Source organism: Homo sapiens, chromosome 3, assembly GCF_000001405.40.
Source record: "Homo sapiens chromosome 3, GRCh38.p14 Primary Assembly".
In the NCBI taxonomy this organism is placed as follows: domain Eukaryota; kingdom Metazoa; phylum Chordata; class Mammalia; order Primates; family Hominidae; genus Homo; species Homo sapiens.
Genome location: NC_000003.12, coordinates 168,901,363 through 168,923,174, shown reverse-complemented (window position 1 = coordinate 168,923,174; position 21,812 = coordinate 168,901,363). Strand labels below are relative to the sequence as shown.

General features: G+C 35.2%; 1 long non-coding RNA gene across 1 annotated transcript; it reads right to left on the bottom strand.

The window, feature by feature from the left end:
- Nucleotides 1-1,178: 1,178 nt before the first annotated feature.
- On the bottom strand, nt 1,179-21,230 carry LINC02082 (long intergenic non-protein coding RNA 2082). The gene is made up of 5 exons (NR_109989.1): nt 21,196-21,230; nt 19,635-19,809; nt 14,762-14,888; nt 12,361-12,503; nt 1,179-1,443 (listed from the first exon to the last, which is right to left on the bottom strand). It is a non-coding gene; the product is annotated as a long intergenic non-protein coding RNA 2082 (long non-coding RNA).
- Nucleotides 21,231-21,812: the final 582 nt, after the last annotated feature.

Genomic DNA, 21,812 nt, shown 5'->3' with positions numbered 1-21,812 from the left:
TTAGCTAAAACCAGGATCTGAATTTGGCCTAGCTATAAATTAAAAGACTACTACATGGTTATGTAACTCTGCTCAAAAGTTTATTTGCCCTTACATTAAAAAATAACTCAAGTTACTCTCAATGGATTCATTAAAAACCTGATTTTTCTACTTTATAGCTATTTGGCCTGGCAGATGGGATCTGGTTTTTTCCTTATGCTGCATTTTTTGAAACAAGTATATATGGTGGGAGAGCAGCACATCCTCCCACCAACAAAAAAGCCACATTCGTATTTCAATAAAATTGCATTATTTGGCATCTACTGTTCACATATGTTCATTTGGCTATTGCTAGTCCAAGTCAATTATAGCCACAAGGGGAGTGGGTACTTGAAATTTAAACAAGGAGCTTTTTACATTTTGTAAGAGAGAAGAGGCCTCCTGACAGGTAGCTCAGTCTCTAATTCATTTTTAATGCAGTCGACAATTCTATAAATCATTTATTTTTCTCCCATTATATACTAGCTCCTGTGCTATAGAAGCCTTAAAAGAAACTTTCTGTATAATTTTGGGTAGGGGTTTGAGGGGTAGGTAAGACTCTTTGAAGGAGCCTTTAAGGAAGAATAAATTTGCCATGCAGGAAACATAGAGAATTGCAAGCAGAGAAAATGTATGGAGGTGTGGTGATTTCAGGACTAGGTCAAGTTCTCCTTATGTAGCTGAGGGCACATAGTGAAGAGGTGTAGACACAATGGTAGAGAAGGTAGATTTTTTGCTATGAAGTGCCATTATTAAATGTTTTTGAGTGAAGAATGTAAGCTCTATCACTGTGAATACTGAGAAATGGAGTATTACATTCCACAAAATGTGAAAAGAAAACTAGCAAAGAATGTCTATACCATAGGTCTGAAGTTAACCGGACTGGTAACTAGGGACAAAATGTATTTCAAAATATTGTTATTAAGCTAAGAATAAAAGTATGCAATACTATAGTCAGCTTAACTGAAAAAAATTTTTTTTCCATTCTGATTTTTAAGAATTTGATTGGGGGTTGGGAGAGAACATGGTATAGATGGAATTACTGTGAATGTTTTTTGGTTAAAGTTAAGGTCCTTCAGAGATACTGTTTGTTTAACCACTGCTTATATACATGTCAAAAGAAAACACTCAAAAGACAAAATGCACTCACAGGTTTTTTTTTTTTATGCATCAAAAATAAAGGTGGTTGAAAATGTGACTACCTGTGTGTGTCTTGATTAGCAACTGGAGTATGAACTCATTCTGACTTGGATTCATCAAAATTTTATTACTTTCCAAAATTTACGGGTATAGATTTTCATCCTCGATGGTAGTGTTTTATAATTGCATGCATGCTGTAGTCAAGAACGTGGCCTCTGGAATGAGGCAAACCTGAGTTCTGCTCCACTTAGGAGCCATATGATCCAAGCAAGTTATTAGATTCAACTGTTAAAAAGGAAAATCAGACAGTTAATCATATCTACTAAACAGTTACCGTGAAGATTAAGCAAAATGTTATAAACATGCTTATATACTGTCTGGTATATTCTAATAAATTTATACAAGTCATTAGTCAATTATGTAATTATTATTATCACCCAAAGATAAATGTGCATAATCAGTTTGAGGAAAAATCTGTGAAAACAACTTTATCTGTACACTGGAGGCAATTGATTCACTGCATTTTGCCTGATTAAATCATGAACAAAAGGGTAATAATATGAGCATATACAATACTTTATTGCAGGGGCGTCCAATCTTTTGGGTTAATTGGACCACCCTGAAAGAAGAAGAATTGTCTTGGGCCACATATAAAATACACTAACACTGATGATAGCTGATGAGCTAAAAAAAAAAAAAATCACACAAAAAATCTCAGTGTTTTAAGGTTTATGGATTTTTGTTGGGCTGCATTCAAAGCTGTCCTGGGCCATGGGTTGGTCAAGCTTGCTTTAGTGCTTAAGAAGTATTCTCTCACAAGCAAATAATTTGGTTTTTGTACCAACCCTGTGAGTTAGAAAATATAAAATATTCCTATGGTTTACAAAGAAGAAGAAGAAAAAAGAGAAAAAAGAAAAAAAAGTATAAAACATCCAAAAGAAAAAGAAAAATACCAATAAATTCATGCCAGAATAGACCAAGATGACAAAGGAAAAAGAAAAAAAGCTCTCAATAAGATTAATTTGTCCTAACTGGTTCTCTCAGGTAACTAGAGTGGAAAAACATGATGTCACCTAGTGAACTGATATTGTCAAATCAAATGATGGGGATCTAATAAATAGCAGATTTATTTAGCCTTTGTAAATAGCTGGCTATTGATTTCTCAAGTGTAGATGATTCACCCCAATAGTAAAGTTTCAGTTATAAGTTTTTTTTTTTTTTTTTTTTTTTTTTGAAACAGAGTCTCGCTCTGCAGCCAGGCTGGAGCGCAGTGGTGTGATCTCAGCTCACTGCAACCTCCACCTCCCAGGTTCAAGAGATTTTCCTGCCTCAGCCTCCCAAGTAGCTGGTATTACAGGCATGCACCACCACATTCAGCTAATTTTTGTATTTTTAGTAGAGATGGGGTTTCAACATGTTGGCCAGGATGGTCTCTGTCTCCTGACTCATAATCTGCCTGCCTCAGCCTCCCAAAGTGCTGGGATTACAGGTGTGAGCCACCACACCCGGCCTCAGTTATAACTCTTAACACATACATTATCACAAAGAAAACATATTATAAAAACATCTATTTAAAATGAATGCCATACATATAACACACGTTTATTTTTAAAAAGTACATTATTGCATAAAGTTTTCGTTTATTTTAAAAATTTGTATGTATATAGATCAAAAAACAGATGCCATGTTTACCTTTCAACCAACAAACTAATACAGACTTTAATAGTCCTCAGACTATGCAACTTGGGAAAAGAGTTCCATTGCTTAATTGAATACGACCAATGTTTCTTCAAGTTCGCATTTGATTAGATTTTCTTATTTAACATTTTCACCAATAAGAGTTTCTTTAAAAAACAATTGATCCCAAATAATTATTGAGTCTGGCAAAGTGAATGTCCAATTAATATACAATGAATTGATGAAATTTCTCAGAAAAGTGATTGTATCTAACTGAAGAGTTAAGAAAATTTTGTGGTCCTGTATATGCATGTTTTAGATTTTTATATAATATGCATATAATATAGTTTCTCTAAGAAATATTTATTCCAGCTCATATATTATTAAATATCTTAATAATTCATGTTCCACCTTGAGTATAATGATATTCAGATGTTCTATCTCCCAATCAAGTTTGAGAAACACTGTTTTAGAAGGACACATATCCAGATTATTCATTTAATTCATTATTTAATTGTCTTAAATTTCCTTGAATATGTCTTGATTAAGTAAAATATAAGCCAGCAAACTTGGTTAGTCAAATTTAAGGGGAATAAACTCATTAATATTATATGGGATTCTTATCACAAGAGTTCTTAAACTAATGAACAGCAAAAAAAATAAAGTGAATGCAACTGTTCCTTATGGCTACAAATGAGGTACTGACCAATAATGCTTCTCAGAGGTTTATTTGGCACTTACATAATGAACTTAAAAAAAAAAAAAGCCATGTTTGTGTGGATTAATTCTGAGAATTGTGTTTATCATTCATTACAGAAATTGTTAAGCTGTGTCAACTGAAGATATTCTTAAAATCTGTTGACAAAATAGTGTTTAAAATATAAAGTTTGAATAACATATGCCAAACAAGGTATGAAAACCATTAATATTTAAATTACTTTCCTTAAATGATGATGAAATCATTACAGGACCTTGAATCTCTCATTGGCTTTAATTTCTTATATTTGTATTTAACTACTTCTCCATACACAGTGTGGAATCATATAAATGGTGACAACGCAAGTTTGAAAGGTCTGTAACACTAAAGCTGGAATTCAAAGGGATTTCTGTAAAGTAAGATTCACTGACCCTCCTTGCCAAAAGAATGTCTCACATCTTAGAAAGGGGAATCGTGCTGCAATAAACACACGCATCCATGTGTCTTTACGGTAGAATGATTTATACTCCCTTAGGGTATATATTCAGTAATGGCATTGCTGATCGAATGGTAGTTCTTAGCTCTTTGAGGAATTGCCACACTGCTTTCCACAATGCTTGAACTAATTTACGCTACAACCAACAGTATATAAGTGTTCCCTTTTCTCTGCAATCTTGCCAGCATCTGTTATTTTTTGACTTTTCAATACTAGCCATTCTGATTGGTGTGAGATGGTATATCACTGTGGTTTTGATTTGCATTTATCTAATGATCAGTGATATTGGGCTTTTTTTCATAAGTGGGAGCTAAATGATGAGAACTCATGGACACAAAGAGGGGAACAAGAGACTGGGGCCTACTGGAGGGTGGAGGGTGGGAGGAGGGAGAGGAACAGAAAAAATAACTGTCGGGTACTCAGGTTAGTACCTGGGTGAGAAAACAATCTGTACAACAAACCACTGTGACACGAGTTTACCCATGTAGCAAACCTACACATGTACCCTTGAACCTAAAACAAAAGTTAAAAAAAAAAAAAAACAAAAAGAATAATCAAAAGACATAAGCTGAGAGACATGAGAAAACAGAGATAAGAGATGAGAAAGTCTTGGTTCTGTGATTTTTTCACTATAGGACCCAATTAGTCTCAGTTTTCTTGCTTATGAACCAAAAAGACTGGGGAAGCTTTAAAGTCTCTTTAAATTCTGCACTTTTTTTATTGCAAGCATATAAGATTCTCTACTCCATAATTGTTGCCCCTTTGTTTTCTTTGGTTATCCAACACATAATATAGCTAGGATAAGTATTCCAAAGTATGAATAGAGTCTGTATTTTAGCCTGACAAGTTGAGATTAGGTTTATTTCCTCATTTATCAATTTTAAAATTTAAATAGATGTCTATAAAAACCATGTTGAACTGCAGGTATCTGTAAGCGAGAAAGATTTTTCTCATTACTAAAGTATATCTATATCTATTTGTAAAAACTTGAAATGTTAATGTCATTTTAACAGAAGATGTCTTAAATATATAATCCTAAGAGAAACTCCCAAACTCATAGATAGGTCTATGTGTATGTGTGTGTCTGTTCATGTTCAATATTTTATTTAATAAATAATATAAAATTCAGTAGCCAAAATACTTAGATAACTCTAGCATTATTAGAATCCTCACACTTCAATCATGGCATGCCAGCAGCCATTTAGTGATTCTCAAAACGGATTTCATCCAATGTGCTACCCAATATTCTGTCTTTGGAATTTTGATGCATTTATATAAACCCCATGGGTTATTCAAAATAGGGTATGTAAAGCTTCTATAAAATGCCCAGGTGTTAGCAAAATTTTGGTCTTTTATTTTTCAACACTTATTCCTATATAACTTTTACAAAATTCAATTTTAAAAGAACACAATGTATTTTACATCTTCCTAATTGTCCTTAATGTTTTAAAAATTAATTTCTCATATTAATTGGACAGGCAAGAAAGGCAAAGTTCTCTAAAAGTTTCATCAACATTTTGATTTGTATTTCCAAAGACCCTTTTGAGAAATGTGTATTGGCTCACAGAGGATTCATGGGAAACTATAAAGTAATATAGGCCTTAGAATTCTCTCAGGCAATGACTAAAAACACCGTGAAAATGTGTGATCAGGGCATCCAGACCAAGGATGCTTCTGAGGGCTCACTTAAGTAGATACTTATCTCTGTTTTTCACAAAAACTTTTCCCTGAGACACTAGTTTTTCCAAAACATTCCTCACAAAAAGGAACGCCTAAACAATTTGAAATTCTTTATTTGAAATTCTTTATGTACTCTGTCTTCCTCCTAGAAATTCACAAATCACAACATATTGGGTTCCCAACAAGTACTGCAATAAAGTATACTATTTAGTTCTATTTAATCCAGAGTTTCCTAGTTATGGCGTTACCAAGTATAAAATCCAACCAATTCTACCCCCTTTCCCTGGTTCTACTTTACAGAATACTATTAATTTGTAAATTTGTAACTCCATCAAATACTCATCAGGAAACACTGCTCGAGGCCTCAAGGTCTTGGTACCATGACTGCCTTAGGCCCAGAGTGGACCCCAGGGAGCAGATATTTAGGAAAATGGCAAAAATCTGGGAAATGCATGATGGTTGTTAAAAATAGAATTATTAATTCAATTTTTATTTCATAGAGCATAATGATGTACTGATGTTTTATGTTTTAGTATGTTCAAAAACATGATAAAGTTATGAGCTGCGACTACGATATGCTCAGTAAAAATGACTGCTCTTCTGGTCCCCAGTAAAAGTATAACTCTACTTAAATGTGTAGCATGTCTTTGTTGCAAAAATGCCTAGTAAATAAAAATAAATGTACAGAAAGTATGTTTTCAAATAATTAAATTTTTAGTGTGAAAAATTTCAGGAGTGCAGGCAGTACACAACTATGTTATTCAAGTAGACCAGCAACTTCAGCCTGAGAACCCTACATGTTACTCAAATGTCATCAAGAAGTTTTTCCTGTATTAAAAGAAATAACCCTTGGTGAATATAGCACAACAATGTAATACACTTAATGTCACTGAACTGTACACTTAAAAATGGTTAAGATGGTATCTTTTATGTTATGTTCATTTTACCTTAATTTTAAAAAATCTAATCTTGTTTTGAAACCCCACTAAAGAGGCAAGATTTTGTTAATGTTTGTCAGAATTACTTGCCTAGTAATAAAATCAGATTTCAAAAAATGCCTAAAAACTCTCCTCTATCATTAGGAAACATTCATCTCCATTAAAAGAGAAGGCATAATGGATGCTGAAAAGGATGCAACAGTTGTCAGAACATGAGGAATATTTTCTTTTTCTCTACTTCCACTACGTAAATCCTCATAACAGTAGGGCTTCAACAACAGCTTTGAAAGTGAACTTTCCTTTTACATTGCAAAGAATAATACAGCTTTCTATAAATGTGAAATGGTATTTCATGAGTTTTTTTTTTAATTTAATTCCTATCACAGCACTAAGAGTAAAACCTGCTACATGAATTTAAGGTTAGGTAAAATATATTTGATTTATCGAAATGTGCATTAACATTGGAGAATTAACAAATTTGTGAGAAATACACTTAGGAAAGGATTAATGAACTATAAAAGGATTGATGAACTATAAAACTGACTGCACAGCTAGAGATATTTAAAAACATTGCCCTTGTTGGCTATCATAGTCTCTTGACTGGAAGTTTATGAGGGCAGAGAACACATCCTTCTTGTTCACTACTACTTTTTTCATGCCTAAAACAGTACCTAGTATAGTAGGCACTACAAATTTTAAAATTATTTAGTGAATTCAAGGTAGAGTTAAAATGCAGAAAATTTCTTTGTAGACAATGGTTGAAAATTGACATGAATGAAGGCATTTTTCAATTAATAAACTATTTGAAATATTACCAATTGACCATTTAGATATCTAATCCATCACGGGTTCCACTATTCATCAAACACATGTTGAATGCTCTCTCCCAAATTCATCCAAATCTCACATATGGAATTTTATTCACAAGCCAATACTCTATGTTTCAAGAGACCAATATTGTCAACACTTAAGCACTAAACATCCAGTTCTGAATCGTTTTGTCTGTTGAACTATTGCTGAATTTTTCTCATGAAGTCTTGGCAAAAAAATTATATTTAATACATTTTCTTATATCTTTTTTAAGTGGAGGCATTAATATTAAAACATTTTATATATTTTAAGACTTCTGTTGGAAGAAAAACACCTAATTTGTTAATATATGTTATTTGAATTAATATTCTTCAAAATTAGAGCTGTTAGCACACAAACATTAAAATGAAGAATTATTAAATGGTGTTTCATGTAATCCTGATATAAGATTTAGAGATAAAACTCTGTAAATATTTGGAAGAACATAAAAGAGGCATCTATCACTTTTAAATGCATATCTTAGACTTTATTTATATTTAAGTTTTTTTATTTAGAAAAAGTAAAATATAAGCAGGAAAAGTGGAAAATAGTCTTCACATAATTAGCTAAAAGAGACAAAGCTTTGGAATGTCTTTTAAATCTATTTTAAAAGCTCAGCTACTTTTTTGTTTTTTTTCTATTACAGACCTAAGAAAAGTTATTTCAACTGAATTGCATACATAACTCCTAGAGTGTAGACAGTTGCTATTATTTGTTCACTTCATCAAATGCTCTTTTAAATTCTTGCTACATCTGTATTACCAGGTCCTAGAGAAACCAAGGTGAAAGAGGCCCAGGAGAGGCCAAACCCTCTTTGCTATTTCTAACAAAGGAAATGCCATTCTTGCCACTAACTCTTGGAATGATTTCCAAGTTCTCTGAAAGTAATTTAACCTGTGTCAAGTAGCTGTCTCATCTGGAAAACTCAATAAACGAATGTAGAAGTTAGAAAGAGTAGGGGAAAGTTAGGTGTCATAGTGAAATAGTTTATCCCAGGCATGTTGAATTGAGACTCCAAATTAGCCAGCATACTTCCACACATCTGCTCACTTTTCTTTAAACTTGAGCTATATTATTGCAGAAAAGCATAATAATCCCCACTCTGATCTTGTATTTCAAATGAAAGAGGCTAAAACATCATAGCACATGCGCCTTTCTAGATCGGTTAAATATTATGAGTGGATACATTTCCTTTGGAGATCAGCATTTTTACATTTAAAGGACAGATTAAACAGGGAGAAAAAGTAGAGGAGTAATATATAAAATATTTGTATCCAATGACAAGGATTCCAATTTTACATTAAACTTTAGCTTAAAGAGGACATGCCTATTAGATTATACTTCACTTAATAGTTGGATTCTTTAACATTTTGTGCAAATTATTTCTCGGCAGCCAAATCATACTTCACTGTACCTGAATAGTGGTTTACATGTAAAAACCTCAGGTAAATGCTTATGTACTGCCAAAGTGAACAGCAACCTTTATTTATTTGTTTAAAAAAGGTGAGGTCTTTGTACACTGTTTTCTTAATTTGAAGCAGTTTCAATGTGGCAGTTACAAAAAATAAAATTTTAAATTCTATTATATAAATTTTCAAGGAAACTATATTTCATAATTTTCCAGCTGTAGAATTAAGATTAATGTTTATTATATGTTGGTTTATGCATGAAATATTGCATATAATAATATTCAGGATATCTGCTAGTGTTCTTAAGCAGAACTGAGGTATTTTTAGGAGAGATCACTCTGCATTGCTTATCAAGATTTTTCAAGATAACCAAAAGTACAATGGAAATATTCTAGATTTTAAACATTTTCTCATTTTTATTTTTTAATATGAAAGACAACTTATAAAAATTTTTATACAGAAAAGGGGCTACAGTAAATTGCACTTGTTCATGCTGACTGGTATAAGAATGAAAATTCAATTTGTCTAAAGGGTCCTGGGATGGCACAAATACAGGTTCATGCTCTGACTTTGCTTTCCCGGTCCTACAATTTGTTTTAGTGTTGGGTGGAAAGGGGATGAAAGGAGATAATATATGAAACATCTGCCATTTGCCAAGAAACTTGTTTAACATTTTACATATGGTTTCTCACTTATAAAAAGTTAAGTAATATAAAATCAAAAAGAATAGTCAAAATAAATCCCTTATTTTTATTCCTATCAAATCTAGATTTTTCTCATCTGCCTGAATAGAAATACGGTCTCTACTGAGGAAGAAAAGCCTGATTTCTTTCTCTTTTCCCTGTTTGTAGCCATAATTTTTTAACAGTCATGAAATAAAGAAAATCCAGAGGGGGCTGGCAGCCCAAGAGAGAATGCTGCTTTTATTTACTTTATTCTCTTTGAAGGTTAGATGGTGATAGTTGAGAGAAACTACAACAATAGCAGGTAAAGAAAATGGGCAAACGTTCAGAATAAAGAATAGTTTTCAGCTGATTTGAAATAACAGATTATTAATGACTGATTTAAATGGTTAAAATGCACTGAAATGTAAATCTTTAATTCCAAATACTGGAGAAAAAAGGTAATTTATTTTATCTCATTTAAGACTAAACTAAATTAATAATCTCTTGGAGAAGCCAGGAGTGGTGGCTCACATGTGTAATCTCAGTGCTTTGGAAGGTTGAGGCAGGAGGATAATTTGAGGCCTGGAGTTCAAGGCCAGCCTGGGTGACATAGTGAGACCTTCGTTTCTACAAATTTTTTAAAATCAGATGGGCATGGTAGTGCATGTCTGTAGTTCCAGCTACTTGAGGGGGCTGAGGTGGGAGGATTCCTTGTGCCCAAGAGTCTGAGGTTGCAGTGAGCTAGGATCATGCCACTGCACCCAAGTCTGGGCAACAAAGGGAGACTCTATCCCTAAGAAAATAAAAAGTATACGCCGGGCGCGGTGGCTCACACCTGTAATCCCAGCACTTTGGGAGGCCGAGGCGGGTGGATCACGAGGTCAGGAGACTGAGCCCATCCTGGCTAACAAGGTGAAACCCCATCTCTACTAAAAATACAAAAAATTAGGCGAACATGGTGGCACGTGCCTGTAGTCCCAGCTACTTGGGAGGCTGAGGCAGGAGAATGGCGTTAACCGGGGAGGCGGAGCTCGCAGTGAGCCGAGATCCCGAGATCCCGCCACTGCACTCCAGCCTGGGCGACAGAGTGAGCTTCCGTCTCAAAAAAAAAAAATAAAATAAAATAAATAAAAAATAAAATAAAAAGTACAACATTTTTTGGAAAGTGATCTCATTAACTCCCTTATATCATTTAATAACATTAAGCTTGACATGGCTGGTCATTATAGGTAGCTATATCTCTGCTCTGTTAAAAGTGCTGAGATTTAGAAAGATAATCATTAAGATGAGAAACTGTACTGAATTGATAAAAGTATTTTTATAAATCCTTCAGTCAATTCTATCCTAAATCTGTTTTGATTTAAAAGCCACTCATACATCTTGTATAAATCAAATATTCAGTCATATAATTGTAATATTCTCTATTTTTATCCCAATAAAGCATGGGTAACATGAGAAACAACATTTCCAATCAAGAAAGTTTTGTTTGCTGATGTGAATTAACCAGTGGTCTGAAAAATTTAAGTGCTTATAAACTACTTGAGAGCAAAAATAAAATAGTATTTATTGCTGTATCTTTCTTGGCTTATCACAGTACTCATCTTAGGTTCATAAATGGCTATATAGTTGTCCTAAATGATGAACAATTTGAATCAAGATTACCACTGTGAATTAAAAGACTGATTACAAGTAGGTCCTGATTTATAGGAAATTTGTGTCCCCCAGAGTAGGCTAAGCCCTGGCCTCGGTCACTGCTACCCAGTTTTTTCCTTTCTGCTGGCCAGTGACGGAGAAAACACACTAAACATTTTGATGTTTCACTATGAAAGTGCACGTCATTAGGTGGCTAAAGTCTTTATAGTCTCCCACACCAAAGTCATGTTTGAAAAACAATACATTAGCAATCCAGAGCAGAGTTTGTTATGAAGAAGGATACTGAGAATAAATAGATGAAATTCTAGATATTTCTAAAGAGGATCCAGCTATTTCATGGCCACTGAAGTCTTCAGTGAATAGGTGTGAATATTTCAGTGTAGTCCAACCTGAACTGAAAAGCAGTTCTTCCATCCAAATTTAAATACCTTCTGTGCATATAAAAAAGGTCCACTTATTAGTCCAAACATTACTAAGATTGGGATCCTGAAATAACATTCTCTTATTATTGGCTATATTCTTCAGCAAAAAAACCACTGGGAAGGCTAGGCTAGAGAATGAGACTTGTGCTTGGAGATGACAAAGTTGAGACATCCTGTTATTTACCCCACAACAGGTCGGGATGGGCTGAAGATGGCTGAGTAAGTACATTTCTCTGTCAAAGTTAAAATGATAAACCGTGGATGAAAGTCTGCAAAATTCTATTCACCAATTGAAAAGCTGTTAGTATTTGGATATTGAGGATCATCTGAACCACTTTCCTCACAGGTTGGGTCCACTGTCTTAAAAAGGCAGGTGCAGCTCCCATTGAGAGGGCTGCAGTGAGCTATGTAACCACACTGACACTGGAGAGCACAGTTTGGTCCATACAGGCCTGGCCTGCATTCTATGAGGGAGAAAATTAAAGTAAAAGCAATTCAGATATGCTTTTCAAACACACAGTGTTCTTACTATTACTTCTTGGCATTCAATAAGATAATTATACGCTTGTGAAATATTCTTTTTTACCATGGGATATCTTCCCATGCTAGAATGCTATGTGATAAAAGTAAGAACATCAATGGAAAACAGGAGAAGGGTGGGAGTGTCAAGGAAGTTAGTGACAACACTGAAAAGAGAAGTCAGGACAGCAACTTACATTTTTAAGGTGCCTTCTCAGAATTAGAGACTTCAGTAGAGCTTTAGTGGTTGCATCGTGAAGGACACAGGGAAAGTTGGATAGTTGTCTTGAGGTCAGAAAAAGGCAACATCCATGCTGAACGCCCAATACAGGAGACTAACCTTTAGGATGAAAACACAATTATTTGTGCTTATGTTATTGAAAATGAAATGACTTTAATTTCAACTGTTTCATTTCTTAAAATATGTCAGAAGGTCCATAGATCCCCTGATCTATGTCCTACAGGACTCTATCTTTAAATTGAATTACACTGTGCTTGCAACAGAAAGAGAAATGATGGAAGATTATAGAAAGTGTTAGCTTAACCAAATGTTGACCAAAAAGGCCCGGCCTGGGTGTTTGCTCTTAGCCTGATTTCCAGTAGAGAATTAACAAGTTCTGTTTCTGAAGAATTATGAGGATAAGGAGAAAGCCCAGCCCAGCTCACGGAAACAGAAAATAGATTCATATTTCCTACTCGGTCAGGCAGGACTGGGAAGAAACTCAGTTTATCAATGTTTAAGGATCAGAGAAACTCAACTGTGCAATCATAACAGTCACCTACCCTTGTGGAGTTTACAAAGTGGGTCTCTAATACAGTATTTCTGTTGGTTCTAACACCTGTGAGGTGGGCAAGGCAGTGAGTTAGGCTCTTGCATTCCACAGAGAAATAAACCTTGGTTTGGTATGGCTTAAAAGATCTTCTCAATTACTATAATATATCTCTGATAAACAGCAGAGCTGGGTTTTAGAATTCTTACCTAGTGCTCTTTCCCCATTTTACACTACTATACGAGTGGATGCAAGGTATTAAACATATGCAGAAGAAAGCCCTAATAAAAAAGTAAAAAGCAGGAAAGTGAGAATTTGGGAAATGTCAGTGAATATGAAGATATAGGCTCTGGGGCAAATTCTGAAACTTTGGGCAAATTTTTGTTAAAAACTTCTTTATTGACTCACTATCCTTTATGCTGGGTTAGAGATGAGCAGTTGGATGTATATTTTTTTATTATTTTGCATTATGAACATAGGTTAAGATGTGGCCTAGCTCTCTTGCCTTAATTAACTAATTAGATTATAAATATAAGGCAAATAGAAACATAAACCAATTTTGCAATTAATTATTTTTACAAGGGTTCAACATTAGCAAACAGTAATTCAATCCCTTCCTAAATGACAGAGCAACAGTTTCCTTTAAGAAGAAGCTTTGGAGGCAGTGCAAATGCTGCTCTGAATCTTTAAACCATGAAACTTTGTGAAAAATTTTAAAAAATCCTATGTCATTTCAAATGAAGTTCAACCCAGACACCCCTGCCCAGTGTGTGGGAGGATTACTTAGTTTGGTGGCAAGATTGAGTGTTCTTATTAGAAAAAGAGTTGTGAGTCAGGATCTCTCCCGAGCACTCCAGAATCTGAGTTTAATTTATAAAAATACCACATTTTCATGTTAATAATGATGTATATTTAAGACATCTGTTTGAATGTCTGCAAATGTTAATTTACCAATGGGGTGGGAGAATAATGCAATAAAAGGTTGTTATATTCTTTTATGAATTAATATTATGGCTGTTTAATAGCACCTTTACCAGAGTTCAAGTTAAAATGAGATCTTTTATCTTTATGGTGCCTGCATAGACACAGCTGTTCACACTTAATATCACAGATGAACCGTGTTTAATTGAAAATAAAAATGAAAATAAAATACCTTGTAGGACATCTGTGTAGGCCATGACTTTATTTAGAAATAACCCTTCTTTTAGCAATGAAGCTTCAAGCCTTCTCTGTTGCAGATGAGAAAAGTAAACTCTGAGATTAAACCCTCTATTTTGGGTAATATCTGTGGCAGGGTCAGTCCTTCAGGTCTATTGTGAATTATATAAAACTCTTCATCTGATAAGCATCCATTAAGTCTAGTAGCAAGTGATTAGTTCAAAATTACTCAATCTACTCTCTCTTCTTCTTAAGACAGTCCCTGAAGAATTAGAACTTTATATTTTAGGTCATTATTTCTCTGAGTGAAAAGAAAAACGAAATACACATTTCAATTCCCAAAGAGTAGCTGGAAGCTTGGGTCTCAAGAATACTATCTGGACCACACCTTAATTGCCTTAATTCTCAGTGATTTCTATGAATCACCTTTGTGATGGGGCATTTAACTGTGTCCCTTTAAGTACTTAACACGTGTCCTCCGACAGCTGTAACGTTGTTTGAGCTGCCTGTGATGTAACAGCTACACACCCTGCTCATCTTACTAAGGGGAAAGTATCAAGCAATTCTGGGCAATGCTCTTTAATAGAGTACCACTTCTAGCAGGAAAATGTCTACAGATCTCTGTATAACGATGGGTCAGGGGGGAGTCCTGACGTGCTTTGGGTCCTACCAGCATCACATCTGGCTCCAGTTCTCCCACGGGGGCAGAGGCATTTTTCAGTTTTTGGGTGGCAGAAGGTTTCTCCTTCACAGTCACAAAGTTGATGGCAATCATCTCCAAACATGCCAGGTGAATACTGACCAAAAAAGGAGAAGTGCTGAAAAATTAACACCTTGCACTTTCATTAATGCATCTTAATGTTAAATATAAAATTTCCTCAAGATTGAGTTCCAAATAGTAAAGTGGGATGATACTGGAATTTGCTGGTCAAAAGAAGAGAGAAAAATTTTGGAATATCAGAACGAAGGTCCATTCTAAACTGATTTGACATGCAAGTCTTAAAGTTGATTTACTTTAACACTAGTATATATCCTTTAGAATGCAAATAAAATTTTTGAAGGTAGGAGCTTTAGGAAGGAAACCAAGTCTACAAGCCAAGCGTCTTATTTTTAATATTTCCCCTTAAAGTGTTTTTATTATTCATCTCTCTAGAAGACAATAAACTCCATGTTTTCCACTGTATTTCCAGAATTTAACTCAGGGCCTGCTGCTTGTCATGTGATAGTATACTAGAGTCAGGTTGGAATTTGTTCTTATTGCTACCACAGATACATAATGGGTGACATTTTATTGAATCACTAAATAATACATGAATAATGAAGGATGTACAAAAAGAGATGTGAGTCAGTATCTCTCCTGAGCACTCCAGAATCTGATTTTAATTTATAACCAATTACTTCTTCTGATGTTCAGCCAGAAAAATATTGATCTTCTCCAGTCTTGGAGGTAAAATCTCCAAGAGGTTTAAGTCCTCCATATTGGACTTACTAAGAGACAATTCTGTATTGTACTTGATTGGCCACCTAAGGAAATGTTTCAAAGATTAGATTTCACAGACTTTAAAACCTAACTTCCTTACAAGATATTTACCTACCATATATGCATCATATTCTTTTGCCCTCTTTCTTCCTTCTTCTCTTCCTCCTTCCTTTCTCTCACACCATCTCTGTCATTTACTCCCAGGACTTCAAATATCAAAAACTATATGATATCACCTTCCACAGATACTCTCTTATTTATTTAAATAATTTAATTTAAAAATCATTGTCACTAAATTTAGCCTGGATTTGAACACATTGCTTCTTTATGTCTTATTTATGATCGCGCCACTGCAGCCAGAAAAATATTGATATTTTTCTTTATAGTGACAACTGAGAACATAGTATGAGCTAACATATAAATCCTTTTTAAAGGCCACAGACAATAACTTTGACTACCATTATCATCATACTATAATTATAATGATCATGATTGTTGTAACTATAGACAAAAGACTATACATAATATAGGCCATAACAGGACTTTGTGTTGTTTACTGAGTTAGTGGCTTTTAGGGCTTTATAATATTTTGTTTCAAACTGAGTAGCCCAAATTCTCACCTTTATATCTTTATCTCCACTCATGGCCATGATTACTTTGTAGTGGTAAATGCCTAATTCACATCTTTAAATATTTTCATAAATTTCTTGTATCTCTTTTAATGCCATTGAACCCAATACATAGGTCACATTCGTTAAAAGCATTTAATGAAATATTTATTCTCATTCAGAGGTAGAATCCTCGTCCAACAAAGACTAACAGTTTTACTGGTGTTTTGAAATATCTCACAACTTTATATAAAGGAAAATAAAATTTTGACCAATCAGCCACAAAATCAGAAGGACTCATTATATTGGCCGTTGAGTGAATTTCTACCACTTTAATGTGCAGGTCGAATGTTTAAGTAATTATTGCATATTTTCAGTTTCTTTTACATGTTTGTCACCAGATGAGAAGATCTCATAGTCACACAGAATTCTCGCACTTGTGTCCTTAAAAATGCTCTGGCAATACTTTTTTCACATTGGCTGCCATGGACACCTGCTGGGCAAATGCACTGTTCACTTGCTGCATTACAACTAGCTCCATTTTTTGCAGTCACAGATGTGAGCACAATTCAAGCCATAAAATCCCGGAGGGTACACTGGGAAATGGAAATGTCAAAATACTATTACTTTAAAAATAAATAAAAGGCAAATTAGAATTTTATTTACATTAAAAGTAAATGAAAGGAAAATTAGAATATGTTCAATTCATTTGTTTCCCAATACCAAATAAAGAGATGAGCGAATTGGAAAGAAAGAAAAAATTGTATGGAGAAGCACATTGACAATAGTTTGATCATACAAATAAGTGAATATATAGGTGCCAGTTTCTATAATTAGTCTAGAAAAGTGAATGAGGAAATTGAAATAGCTTTAAGTAGATCATGCTTATGTCCTATGATGTGCACATAAACATTTGGCCAAAGCCTTTCCTAAAATCCTTCAATACCGGCTGGGCGCAGTGGCTCACGCCTGTAATCCCAGGACTTTGGGAGGCCAGGGAAGGTGGATCACGAGGTCAGGAGTTTGAGACTAGCCTGACCAACATGGTGAAACCCCATCTCTACTAAAAATACAAAAATTAGCTGGGCGTGGTGATGCATGTCTGTAATCCCACCTACTCAGGAGGCTGAGACAGGAGAATCGCTTGAACCCGAGAGGCAGAGGTTGCAGTGAGCCAAGATTGTGCCACTGCACCCCAGCCTGGGTGACATGTGACAGAGTGAGACTCCATCTCAAAAAATAAAAAAATGAAACAAAAAAAACAAAGAAAAAACAGAAAAAAATAAAGAAAAAAAATCCTTCAATACCTTAAAGACATAAAGAAGCAATGTGTTCAAATCCAGGCTAAATTTAGTGAGAATGATTTTTAAATTAAATTATTTAAATAAATAAGACAGTATCTGTGGAAGGTGATATCATATAATTTTTGATATTTGAAGTCCTGGGAGTAAATGACAGAGATGGGTGTGAGAGAAAGGAAGAAGGAAGAGAAGAAGGAAGAAAGAGATTAAAAGAATATGATGCACATACAGTAGGTAAATATCTTACAAGGAAGTTAGGTTTTGAAGTCTGTAAAATTTAACCTTTGAAACATTTCCTTAGGTGGCCAATCAAGTACAATACAGAATATGTAAGTCCAATATGGAAGACTTAAAACCTCTTGGAGGTTTGGCAAAAATATTAAACAATATATGCACAAAACTATTTATTGATACAAAATTTATAATACCAAAAGCTTAGAAAAGAATATTAATATGACCATGATCTGCTTCTAAATAATACCATAGAGGTACAGAGTGAGGGAGTGGCTGGAAGTATAGATGACACAAGATTAATCATAAATTGATTGATTATTGTTGAAGGTGAATGACAGATATATGGAGATTCATTATACCGTTATATCATTCTCTTAACTCTTGTATGTGTTTGAAATGTTACATAATAAAAACTTTAAATGATAGAATCAATGGTAAAAATATCCCACATACTAAATGCCAGAAAATTACTCAACTTACAATCAAAAAGAGCATGGACATGATAGTACTGTCTGTTTTTAAAAAGCTGATTTTGTAATCTCAAATCACAAAACTGATAAGAGCCATCTCCCATGAATTAGGCAGGATATCCATCTTTTCAAAATCCCATGAAAAATGGCCTTGAATCTTAGATTTGGAAGGACTGTCAGGTATTATTCAGCTCAATACCCTCATTTTCAGATGGGAAAATTAAATCAGAAAGAGGATGTGAACTGCCCAAAGATAGACCACATGGTATTAGCAGAGCTAGGGTTAGCATTCATGTTTATCCATGCCCATTGCAATGTGGTTTCTTCTATAACATGTTGTTGAATTTCATGACAGTTGAACGAGTAGTGACGGAGAGTAGATAATCACACTCATTTTCACTAAGTCGGAAGAGTCACACCACCCGCAGTTGAAACCATCTGGGTAAACGTACATTGTGAATTTTTTTCTGCTCTGAGTGCCTCAAGTTTAGGCCTCCAGCACAATGTTCTCATCCACACTTTGCCAGAACCTTTGCTCTGTAATCTGCCAAAATACAATGTCTCCTACAATAGTGCGCTCTAAATAAAGTTGGTGCTTTCCAGTGTTGTACAAAATAACAAATTGTGGTTCAGGAAAACAAACATTAGAACAACTATCAATATTCATTTTATCCATGTTTATCAATTTAAGCATTTATCTACATTTTATAATATACTTATTAGTCAAGACGTGCAAGAATGTCATTTATAAATAAAAATGCATGTATAGTGGTATAGCAGGCCCCCCATCCATGGAGAATACATTCCAAGACTCCCAGTGGATGTCTGAAAGCTCAGATAGCATTGAACCCTATATACACTACGTTTTCCACTATACATGCATAACAATAATAAAGTTTAATTCATAAGTTAGGCATAATAAGGCATTCACAGTAACTAATAAAAAAATTACATCAATGTACTTAGAGTTCTGCCAATCTTACAAAAATCTTACTGTACTGTACCGCAGGTAAACCACAGGCAAAGGGGGACTACTGTACTGATTAAATTTTTCCTGATGAAACAAATTTTGGAGACTTTTGGGTGGTCCTCTTCCCTCTTTGCAGCTGTGCCTATTCTTATTCATGTGATCTGGCTTCTCCCAGAGCCCTGTATCCTCCGCCTTGCCTGCCTGAAAGCCTCAGAGGTGGTGGAGATTCTTCAGCTTCATGCCTAGAAACTCAAGACTTAGTAGATTTGGTGTCCACAAAGCCTTTCTTTAGGCTTAAAAAGTGGCTGGTAGGGGAGTTAAGTTTAGGTCTCAGAGGAGCTCTTTCACATTAATACTATTTCAATTACTTAAGGAGTTTAGGAGTTTTCATGTGATATTTCAGTAACAATATCAATCATATTTACATAACAATTTTATTGGATATTCAATTATAGTTCTAAACAACTTGAATTAGCTTACTGGAAAATAGCTTCTTCACAAGTTTCTGCTGTATTTTATCAACCAATGACAGTATTCTCAAAAGTAGATCCTTTTTTTATTTTTGAGACGGAGTCTTGCTCTGTTGGCAGGCTGGAGTGTAGGGGCGCAATGTTAGCTCACGGCAACCTCCGCCTCCAGGGTTCAAGCAATTCTCCTGCCTCAGCCTCCAGAATAGCTGGGACTACAGGCGCCCGCCACCATGCCCAGCTAATTTTTGTATTTTTAGTAGAGACGAGGTTTCACCATATTGGCCAGGTTGGTCTCGATCTCTTGACCTCATGATCTGCCCACCTCAATCTTCCAAAGTGCTGGGATTACAGGTGTGAGCCACTGCGTCCGGCCTAAAGTAGATCTTTATTGAGGGAAAAAAGGCAGTGAATCAACTTGCTTTTTTCACAATAATTTCCTGTCCACCCAAGGCCACAGATAGACCTTCTATCTGCAGAATTGCAAAGGCCACCATTTTTACAAGTACATTTTAGCTGATAATTGAGGCCATGTCTTATCTGGGGACAACCTGTAATAAAATTTTGTAAAAATAAAATAACACAACACTTTTCTCTTCCTTTCTTTCTTCCTTCCTTCCTTCCGTTCTTTCTCTCTTTCTCTTTTTTTTTTTAAAGGAGTCTTGCTCTGTCACCTAGGCTGGAATGCAGTGGTATGATCTTGGCTCACTGCAACCTCTGCCTCCCAGGTTCAAGCAATTCTCCTGCCTCAGCCTCCTGAGTAGCTGGTACTACAGGTGCATGCCACCACACCTGGCTAATTTTTGTATTCTTAGTAGAGACAGTGTTTCACCTTGTTGGTCAGGCTGGTCTCAAACTCCTGACCTCAGGTGATCCACCCACCTTGACCTCCCAAAGTGCTGGGATTACAGGCGTAAGCCATGGTGCTCAGCCGGAAAAACAACATTTTTCTCTACTTCAGATACAGTAACTGTATCTAGATAGCAAAAGCTTAATAAATGTTAAAATTAAAACAAAGAACTACTCACATGTTATCTGTAAGGTAGCAAATATATCACTTTCATTCATTCATTTTTTTCATTCACTCCATGAATATTGATTAATACTGTGTGTTTGGTATACTGGGACCTGCAGAGACCCTTGTGAAGAAGGAGCAGTCAATCCTGGATGACTAGGGATAAGATTTTATATATTTAGTTTCATAACTGATAAAGAAGAAAAATGAGCAGTTTGTTTTCAAGTTACTGAAATGGTAAAAGTATTTCAACTTACAGAGGTGGGTGACACAAACTAAAATGCACTATCAAGAGGAATTAAGACACAAGTGGCCTGGGGGTGGTGGCTCATGCCTGTAATCCCAGCACTTTGGGAGGCCAGGACAGGTGGATCACAAGGTCAAGAGATCAAGACCATCCTGGCCAACATGGTGAAACCCCATCTCTACTAAAAATACAAAAATTAGTTGGGCATGGTGGCGGGCGCCTGTAGTACCAGCTATTCCAGAGGCTGAGGCAGGAGAATCCAGAGGCTGAGGCAGGAGAATCCGGAAGCTGAGGCAGGAGAATCACTTGAACCCGGGAGGCGGAGGTTGCAGTGAGCCATGATGGTACCACTGCACTCCAGCCTGTCGACAGAGAGAGACTCCGTCTCAAAAAAAAAAAAAAAAAAAAAAAAAAGGACACAAGTGAACGAAACTAACCAGACAAGGAAAACGGAGCCTCTCTTTCTTCAGTGTCACGGAAAAGATAATTGAATGATGAGAAGTGCAACCGATGGGAGTGCAAAGCCCCTCCAAGGTGAGAATCAGACTTGCATTTTGTTGCTTTTGCTATGAAGAACGCAAACCCAATACTGCCAGCTAATATGACTTTTTAAGGAAAACTCAAAAGTTCATATTTTATGTGAAATTAACAAATCTTTGAAAGTTGACCACTAATTAAAATTGTTTTACAGCGCTGCTAAAAGCCAAAACTATGACAGCCAATTCAAACATATTTGTGGCTACATTTGGCCAACAGCCTGCCATTTATGACCTGAAGTTTATAGTATTTTTACATAATAATATTTTCCACATGGATTATCTCATTTAATACTAAAAAATACTCCTGTGATGTGGGTAGCAGTATTCTTATTTTACTCTTGAGAAAATTGAAGCTCTGAGTCTAAAGTCTTGCTCAAACTTAAACAGCCT